Here is a 9,771-nt window from a genome sequence, read left to right as displayed (position 1 = left end):
GCAAAGAGAGAAACTCTGGACTACACTGGTAATTTTTTGTGCGGGTTCCACATCAGTGTTGCTATAAACATTTTGAAGTTCAGTTTCTCTATGTACAAATAAAAGTATTTAAACATGTGAAAACTGTAATTTCTATTTGAATGGAATAGTGCAGCTTGCTTGAATGCAATTATCAGTTACATCACAATCTATTGCAAATATCTTCTGTCAAACACATTTTTTAAATTTAGTAGGAATATTGTTTTTAACACGTACTGTGCTCCAACACAATTTGTATTCATGCCATCATTGCAAAACAATCATTTTATCTTCAGTGTTGGACTTTTATGCTGCATTTGTAAAGGCAGTCCTACTAATGTGAAATGCCTCACCACTGACAAAATGAATGTACAAAAGTTGGATGCTGATTCCATAGATTGACAAGAAGATCAAACCATTATTGGAATTAAATGCTTTTGTATCTGAAGCACCTGAGGACAATGATATAAACCTGGGATCATTTTGTCATGTGTGATGTGCTTCTGCTGAACAGCCTATCGATAACTATCACTTTACATTTTGTAACTTCGCAAACACTTGGAATCATAATGAAGAAAATATATCCTGGAAGAACCATCTGTGAACCTAAGTGAAAGTCATGCTTTAAAAGTGATATGTTGTTAAGCTCCGGCCTGATGGCAGAGACTCTGGAAGAGTCTTGGAGTCAGGAACTTACCAATGGGGCCCACAAGGTGTCATGGGTTGTGTCTCTGTCTGGGGCTTAGATCTCTTCATTTATGAATTTTTGCAGTCTGTGTGGTGGTTTCCAGGGTCCCCTGCACCTCTGGCCACTGTGGCTGTTCGTGTCCTCCCATCCTTTCTCATCGGAATTCAGGGAGCTGGGTGACCTTCAGCAGGACAGGCTGCTCAGGCTTTGAGACACACCACCGCTGGGGCAGTGACGCTAAAGATTCTCTTATGGCGGGGGGCCCACCATGTTGTCTCGCCAATGCGTGAGACACACACGTGGCTTCTGTTCCTAAGTCCCTACTAAATTTTTCTTTCTAAGAAAAAAACAAAAACAAAAAATACTCTCTGTTAAACTCTTAAATATTTGGAAGAAGCTTTCCCTATTTTTTGGATGGTATGATTGTTGCTAATTTTTCTGCTCTTTAGGCGCATCTCTGGCAAGCATCTTTGTGACTCTGGCCTTTTTGCATTGATAACACTGGTCACTATTCATGGAGGGGCTGTTGTGGTTCAGCACAGGCCACTGAACTATGCCGCCCATTTCATAGACAAAGGAGCAGGAGGTGAGAGGAGACAGCTGCATTTTTCCAGGAGACTTGAAGGGTAAATGATGGGGTCAGGATTTGAACCCTGGCACCTCTGAAGTTTAAGGCTGCCCTCTTTCAGCTATGCCATGGATATGTTTCCAGAAATGTGACTGGGTTAAGTGACATGAATGTCTTTAAAGCTCCTGGGGCATGCTTTTACCTGCTCATGAGCTGTCACAGACACTCAGAGATCACAACACACAAGCCTGTGATCCCAGCCCCAGACAGGCAGTGGTGAGGGTGCAAGGAGCAGAGAGGCCGCCTTTCTGCGGGAGCCAGGCTATAGCTCCTCACGGTGAACGGCAGTCACCAAAGCATGGGATGCCTGGGGCTGGCCCCGTCAGTTCCGCTTTTCTTGCCCTCTTACTCCCTGGTCCTCAGGCTCTGCCACACGTCCTCTGGCACCAAGAGGACTTGGTCTATAGAGCTCACTCCCTCTGTGTGGCCTTGGGCCAGCCTCTGGAGTCCACCTCCAACCCCTCCCCTACCAGGGGTGAGGTCACAGCCCTTCTCTTCCTAAGGCATCTGGGGAGAGCCAAACAAAAGAGCAGATGCTGACATGTTTGGAAATACCACAAAGAATTGTACTGTGGAAAGTGTCAACGTAATTGATAATAATAATATTTCAGCACAAACGTTCCCTGCTGGGGCTGTTTCCATTGCATTTTAGAAGGCAGATGATGGTATTCTTAGATCTTGCCACCTGTCATCCTCCCCAGGCACCCTCTAGACTAAAAGAAGTATGTCATGGGAGGCCTTTCACACCAGAGATTGGGGATGAGGAGGATAAAAAGAGATGTGTGTGACAAGCGTTGCAGGCTTGTCATGGAGGCGATGGTCTGTGGGCTTTATCTTTATTCATGTTCCTCCGAGAACCACTCTAGGGCCTATGGTGTCAGCCTACTGCATGGCCAGGGGCCAGTCCCTCCTGTGACCCCTCACCTCCCCAGCTTGCCAGCTTCTAGTGCCCGGGAGGCTGGAGTTCAAACTGTGTCCCCAGGGTGCACTGCATCTGCTGGTCCCTAAGGCAAGTCTTTGCATAGATGAAAGCTCAGGGTTAGCTTTCCCAGAAGACATGACTCATCTGTCCTGTCTTCATGGCCCACTGGTCTATTGGCAGAACAAGCACCACCCCAGTGCATGAATATGGAATCTCCAGGATGATGACATTCCTTCCTGCATTCAAGTCACCAGGTTAGCCAGTGCCCACAAACTGACCTGCAGTTCATTTAGTTCAGGGCATATTTATTGTGCACCGGGAACAGCAGTGGTGAGGATGATAATGACAGCGGCAGTGGTGGCCGGGGAGAGCGCCCCCACCACTGAGCAGGGTCTGCCTCTGTCCTGATCTCACACGTGGCACTGTGGTGCAGAGACACTCAGGACCAAGCTCTGCAGGCTGATCTGGGGTACACGGGAGAAGGGAAACCCCTGCTTGGGTTGAGCTCACTACCCTGCAGGGACCCTGACCAATACACACTTCTTACATGTGATGATTTGGACAGAAATCTTATTTTCTTTTCAAAACTTGCTCCCATGAGAGAGACTGCATTGTTGATGAATACCGCATTTCTCTCCCTTGATGAGCAAACTCGGGGACCAATAATATTCGATAGGGGTGGGGCGTGCAGTCTCCACCCAAACCCTCTCTGGGCTCTTATGATGGAGCGATGCGGTTGCGTGGTGCGGGCAGTGTGCCTATGCACCTTGGTGCCGCTCCACGGGGCCACTTGAGGGGCGGTGGGTGGTGTCTTGTTTGCCGGATAAGGAGTGGGACTGCCGGGGGCCAGAGCTGAGGGAATGGGGGGTTATAGCTTGGGAAAGAGAAGGAGGCAAGATGGGAAGGGTGGCAGTGGGGAATGGATATGGGGAAAGGATAGAAAAGGAGCAATAGCCTGGGGGTTCTGTTCCTTCTGTTTTTGCCGTGTGGCTGCCCAGCCCTATTCAATGTTCAGTCAAGTCATCATTTCTCAGCGGGAGGTGCGGTGCCTCGGAGTCGTTGTCGTGTTTGGAGGTTTTGACTGCGGCCTGCCATGCTGGGATCCACCTGGAACGGGGTGAGAACAGAGGGCTCTGGATGGAGAGGAGAGGAGGCCGGGGAGAGACCGCGAGTGTTCCTGGAGCCTGGCGTCTGAGCAGGCCCTTGGAGGAGGGGCAGCACTGATGGAGAGGAGGCTCAGCACTGATGGAGAGGAGGCTCCTGCGGACGCGTGGCGGGAACAGCTTCCTCCCAGAGTTCCCTGCAGCCCAGAATGGGGAGGGGGCACCCAGGGTCGGGGCAGCGGAAGGCCCTGCCTGCCAGGCAGGCTGATTGGAACGCCCTCCTGTGAGTGATGGGGGTCCAGGAAAGTTTGGTGAAGACACCTGTGAAGTAAATAAAAATATTTTATCCGAAAATATATTTCTTTGGCATATTTTGAGGTGGCTGTCAGGGAGCCAGCCAACAGCAGTGGCTGCAAAGCTGTCTTTTGTGGGGAAAATTAAGTCTGTAGAGAATCCGCGTGGATGCAGCCAGGCCTTTCCTTGTGTAGATGCAGGGAGATTAACCGAGAGCCTGCCACCTTTAAAGGCCTGAAAGAAACATCTACCTTCTATTCTCTCCAAAGGCTGCCACCTGTGAGGCTTCATCTACGCAACAAGGCCTTTGCCAGCAGGCGCCCTCCCTCCCTCCCTCTGCCCTCTGGCCATGTCTTACCACCATCTCTTGGTCCTGGCTGTACTCTGAGCCGGCAACTTTTCTGTAACCTTGAGGTGGTGCATAAGCCCTTGCACTCCATCCGGGGGTGGGAAGTCCGCCTGTGGTTCTTCCTGTGCGCGTGTGAATACATTTGTATGCCTTTTCTCCAATTAATCTGCCTTTTGTGAGTTGATTTTCCAGCAAACCCTCAGAGGGCAAAGGGGAGGTTTTCTCCTGGCACCTACTGCTGGGCAGTCATCACGTGCCACGTGCGGTGAGGGCGTCCCTAGGGAAACAATGGGGCTTCCTCAGAGAAGTGTTTTGGTAGGTGTGGCACCTGCATCTGGAGGGGAAGGCTCAGAAAGGGTGGGGTGAACCCATCAGGATTGCAGGCCTCCAGGGGCCGCGTGAGGGCTCTGGAAACCTGGGAAGCACCTTGAAAAAGGAGAAGGTGAAAGGAGGGTAGGAACACCTGGGCCCAAGAAAACAAAACAAGAGACCAGCCACCACTCCTCCAGCACACAGAGGCCCCGGCTCCTTCCAGAGCTGCCTCCAAGCCTGGCCTCACACCATGCGTCCTGGGTGCGGCTGCAGGGGTGAGGGGCCTCTGTGAGCACAGGAAGCACGACCCTCCCTGGGTGGATGTGCCCTTTGCCTCCTTGGTCAGGTCCCCAGAAGCCAAGGTGTCAGTGGCACCTGGTGGGGCTGTGGGCCTCACCTCTGGTCTGAATTCAGAGCACAGGCTTTGGACTAAGGGAGGCCAGCACGTGCACCCACTCCCTCAGCAAAATCATGGGTTTGCTGGGGGTTTCTGGTGCTCCCCACCACCCTCTCTGCCTTTTGTAAGTGTTCCCACCCCCAGCCCTTGGCTGCTGCTGCATTTGTGTTCTCTTTGCAGCTGCTCTGGGGGGATGGGGGGTGCTAGTGTGGTTGTGGCAGCTGCTCCTTGACTGGGCCAGTGCTGCAGGCAGCAGGACTGTGGCAGGGTCTTCATGCCCTGCAGTCCGGCTGCCCAGGAGCTGCGGACATCATCATGGCCCCAAGCTTCTCAAGAGGGGCTGGGGCTGCCTCCAGGGCTCACACGGTGCACAATTTCTCAAAAGAGGGCTCTGGGGCTTAGCAGAAAAATCCGTGAGTAATGAGCCAGGGAGAGTGGGAGTTCATGGAGGCTCTGCAGAGCACGGTAGCAGAGTGGCAGCCCAGCCTGGAGTCACCAGGGTGAGGGCGGCAGCCCCCAGCAGGCAGCTCCCCACTGGGCCACAGCAGATGGTGGCTGTGAGGCAGGAGAATAGGGCCTGGAGGCAGGGAACTAAGGACTTCCTAGAACGAAATCAAACGGAGACACTTCAGCTGTGACATGAAATATCCTCTCCATTTACATGGGGCATACAGTGAGTAACCAGTGGAAACCTCTAGAGGGTATTTAAACCCCAGAAAATTCTGTAACGGGGCCCTTGAGCCCTTGCTTGGGCCCGTTCCCACCCTGTGGAGGGTATTTTCATTTTCAATAAGTTTTTGATGCTTCATTCTTTCCTTGCTTTGTTTGTGCATTTTGTCCAATTCTTTGTTCAAAATGCCAAGAACCCAGCCAGCCTACTTCTGGAGCTTTTGTCTTCCTGAAGGGGGAGCTATTCAGCACTCCTGCCATTTGCTCCCATAGCCCAGGGTGCCTGGTCCCCTCCAGGCTCCCAGGTAGGTTCTCCTGGGGCTGGGCCTGAGCACCCTCTTGGCGCGGGCTCTTCCTCACCTTCCTCAGGGGTGCTTCGGTGACCAGTGACTGCCTGGCAGCCGGCAGCCCCATACTGACATGGAGAGGTGGTACGGGTGCTGGGACAGCCCGGGCATTCAGGACCACGCAGCCTGAGTTCCAGTCCTGCTTGCAGCTGTGTGACCTTGGGCAGGGCCACCTCACCCGCGAGGCACTTCCTTATGGGTTACACGGAGCTGGCAGTACTTAGCTCACAGGACTCACGTGCAAGTGTCAAGTGTAGAAAGTTTTTAACGCAGCCTCCACAATGCCTGGCCCCTGCCTGGTGCTCTGCGGTGGAGCCTGACCATGCGGTTGTAGCATGGTTCATATTTATCACCCTCACAGACGTGAGCCCGCTAAAGAGCCAATGCCGACCAATGCTTGTTTGAGAGGACAGCAAGGTTATGCTGCCTTAGCGTAGGTGTAGGTTACATTTCAAGCCAAGCAAATCTGGTTCTTTACTTCAGAAGCTGACAGCTGCCTCCCTCCTGGTTTCCTCCCAATGGTGAGGCCAGGGGTCCCTGACCCTCCCTCAGCCCCATTAGTGCAGGGAGTGTGATCTTCCCATGCGCCCTCAGCTTGGTTTCTTACTAGCTGCATGACCTTGGCCTAGTTACTTAACCTTCCTGAGCCACTATTTTCTCATCTGTGAAATGGGTTGAAAATGCCCATGTGGCACTAGGTGGAGATCCATGGCTCCTTTTGCTCCTGCTGCCTCTCAGGGCCTCAGCCCTCCTGTCTCTGCCTGTGGGAGCTTCCCCCAGGGAGCCCATGCAGGCAGGGTTTGCGGGTGGTCGAGGGAGTCCACGTTCAGGCCTCTAGGGGCAGCTCTGGTTCTCTTTGCAGGGTGCATCCTTCAGGCCTCATCCCTTCAGCCCTAAAGGGATTCATCAGGGTGCCCATGGAGGGCCCCAAGGAAAGCAAGGTTAGTGACACTGAATGACCCACTGGACCTGTTCCATCCTATTTCTCTCTCCAGAAGTGTAGCTAGCATGCTGCTAGTGTCTCATCCTCATGCATCTCTATACCTCCCCTATGTGCTTATGCATCCTTAAGAGCAGCACTGGGGGGTGGGGGGTGGGGGTGCCGTGACTCACACCTGGTAAACCCGTCGCTTTGGGAGGCGAAAGCATAAGGATCACTTGAGCCCAAGAGTTCAAGTTCAGCCTGGGCAACACAGGGAGACCCTGTCTCTACAAAAAATTTTAAAAAGTAGCCAGGCATGGTAGCACACACTTGATATCCCAGCTACTTGGCAGGCTGAGGCAGGAATATCGCTTGAGCCCAGGAGGTTGAGGCTTCAGTGAGCTATGATCGTGCCAGGGCATTCCAGCAAGGGTGATAGAGTAAGACCCTGTCTTCTAAAAACATAATGTAGCACTGCTTTGTGTGTTTTTAACTTCCTATAAGCAGCATCATGCTTTACATATTTTTCTGCAACTTTCTTATCCCTATCACTATTGTATTTGAGGCTTATCTATGCGAATGTTTTAGGACTAGATCATTTCAATATTGATCCAGATAATATGAATATTTTATTGTGTGATTTTGCATAAACATGGCTTAATTTATTTGCTCATTTAGGTGATTTCAATTTTTCTTTATTACAAAGAAACCTGTCCTGTTCATGTCTCTTCATGGATATAAATAAAAGATTCAAGAAGACAGGTGCTCGTCATAGAATTTCTGGACCTTCCATCCTAACCAGATAACACAAGAGTGCTCTGTGAGGCAGGAAGTCTTCTTACACTCACACCTGCGGTGGGAGCATCCTTGTTTCATCACGTCCTTCCAACGCTTGGCATTTTTAGGCTTTCGATATTGCCAATCTGATGAGTGCAGAACCTAGGCAGTTCTGATTTGTATTTTTCCACTTGCTAGTGAAGTCAAGCATCTTTTCACAAGTTTACAGCATTAAGGTTTCTTCTTCTGTGAGTTGCCTGTTCACATCTTTTGCTCACTTTGTTTTGCTTTCTTTGTCTAATTTCCTGTGATTTTTATTTTTAAATTTTCACTTATTTGCCAGGGTTCATAATCGTTGCTTGATACTAATCCTTTTTATTTATATGTAGAATGATCTATGGTATATCATGCTGGCTGGACATTTCTGAGAGTGAGAAGAGGGCATTGGTAACAATGACACTGAGCAACAGATGGGGTAGGGACTGTGCCAGGCAGACCAGGCAGATGGGCCACCCATTCATCAGAATGGCCTCCACAGACTTCATTGTTGATTTGATTTCCAGCCTAGGAAATAATTGTTTTTTGTTTTTTTTTTTGGTGTGCAACTTTTATTGAATAGTTCATCTTTACCCTTCTAATTTCTAAAACTATTCTATAATTTTAAAAATTCTTTCTGGGCTCTCTTTTCCATTGTATTCTTGTGGTAAAATACCATTCTGTCTAAATTACCTTAGCTTTATAGCAGCAGTGGTGATTGTTAGGGTATCTCCATTGGTTTTCCAAAATTATCTTGCCTATTTTTCATCCTATGTGTTTTAAGAAGAACTTGTCATGAAACACACACAAACCCTACACCCACATATTTACACACACACAAACATACAGACATACACACATATGCAGACACACATAGGCACATTTAAAATATTTGCAATTTTATTGCATTTATAAAGTTTACTATATTTATGAAAATGGCATATCTTCCTACTTAATCAGGTACTTATTAATATAAGGCATGAGAAGGAGAATTTCTTTCTGGAGAAAGAAATTTCCTCCAGTCCAGAAGGAAATTGTCAGAACACTTGGTAGCTGTCAGAGCTACCAAGTTCAATGGAATGGCCAGGTCCCTCCCTGACTGCTCTACAGTGAGGACCATCAGGCCAAAGGGAAGACCTAACTTAAGGAATAATACAAGAAAAGATCCAGAATTGAAGGACTAAGTTGCCAGATCAAAAGAACTAGATAATTATTAAATAAAGTATTAGTTAAGATGGCATTGCCAATAGCACCCTTGAAAGAAGACAATGAGGCAATGCCTTAACATTTTCTATCAGTCTCTATCTCTCGCTATAGAGAAAGATCTGTTATTCTCAGTTGCCATGTTCTATAAAGCTGCCATGAAAACTGGACTAGTGAATACTGAAACATTACTCCTTAGGGAAATATGTACATATTGTATTGCACATAGATTTTAATCTTAAATCCTAAAACAGCACATCCTGGTAGATTCTATCTTCTTTTTTTGTAGAACAGAAATGAGTTTTGGAACTCTTAAGTCATGTGCCTGAGGACGCCCAGCTAGCAGGTGCCTCTTGGGATTGGAACCAAGCTTGTGCCACTGCCCCGGCTGGAGCTTCTCACACAGCGCTGCACTGCACTGCACTGCCCTGCCCCCTCTCTGGTCATCTCTGAGAAGGAAACCAAAAGGCAGAGAGCCCTGCCCTATTCAACCACAGGGGAGGGACTTATGTGAAGGGCGACTCAAGTTTTTCCCAGATCTGCATGTCCCTGAATGACCATAAAATCTCCGCAAGTATTGATTTCGAAGGTTACCAATAAATTTTAGTGAGTAGGTGAATTCATAAATATGAACTCCATGAATTATGAGTTTTGACTGTGTGTGTGCGTGTGTATAAAACATTATTGGACTTATGTATCCTTTTGAAACTTGCTTTTTTCTTTCAGTATTATTGTTGTGAGTTACATCTGTGTTCATACATGAAAATCTAGTCTACCTGTGCTACTGCTATATAGTATGTGTATATTTGTAAATTATACACAGTTTGTGTGTCCTTTTGCCTGTGGAAGGAGATTAAGATGCGTCTAAAATAAAGATGTTTTTGGTCATCTACAATCCTAGAAAATTGATCTCCTAGGCATCCTTTTAAAGAAATCTGTCTGAAAGATGTGCCCCAACAAAATGAGGGAGTAAATCAAGAAAATGGAAAACATAGAATGCAGGAATCAAGGGACCTCACACAGGAGAGAGGTGAAGGCAGTCCCCTGAAAGATGGTGAGGGGAACTCTGCAGATGGCAGCCAGGTGCAGAGGGCCCCAAGGGAAAA

The 9,771-nt window shown here is 48.7% G+C and overlaps 2 annotated features.

The window, feature by feature from the left end:
- Positions 2,547 to 3,491: an enhancer, noted in NCBI's record as "H3K4me1 hESC enhancer chr2:130468479-130469423 (GRCh37/hg19 assembly coordinates)". NCBI's record gives its function as "activates a minimal SCP1, AML or CMV promoter by ChIP-STARR-seq in primed H9 embryonic stem cells {active_cell/tissue: H9 hESC(primed)}" and the evidence as "EXISTENCE:reporter gene assay evidence [ECO:0000049][PMID:30033119]".
- Positions 3,492 to 4,437: an enhancer, noted in NCBI's record as "NANOG-H3K27ac-H3K4me1 hESC enhancer chr2:130467533-130468478 (GRCh37/hg19 assembly coordinates)". NCBI's record gives its function as "activates a minimal SCP1, AML or CMV promoter by ChIP-STARR-seq in primed H9 embryonic stem cells {active_cell/tissue: H9 hESC(primed)}" and the evidence as "EXISTENCE:reporter gene assay evidence [ECO:0000049][PMID:30033119]".

The sequence above is a fragment of the Homo sapiens genome, chromosome 2 (genome assembly GCF_000001405.40).
Source record: "Homo sapiens chromosome 2, GRCh38.p14 Primary Assembly".
NCBI classification, from domain to species: domain Eukaryota; kingdom Metazoa; phylum Chordata; class Mammalia; order Primates; family Hominidae; genus Homo; species Homo sapiens.
Note: the sequence above shows the minus strand (reverse complement) of the source record. Positions and strands in the feature narration are given on the sequence as shown.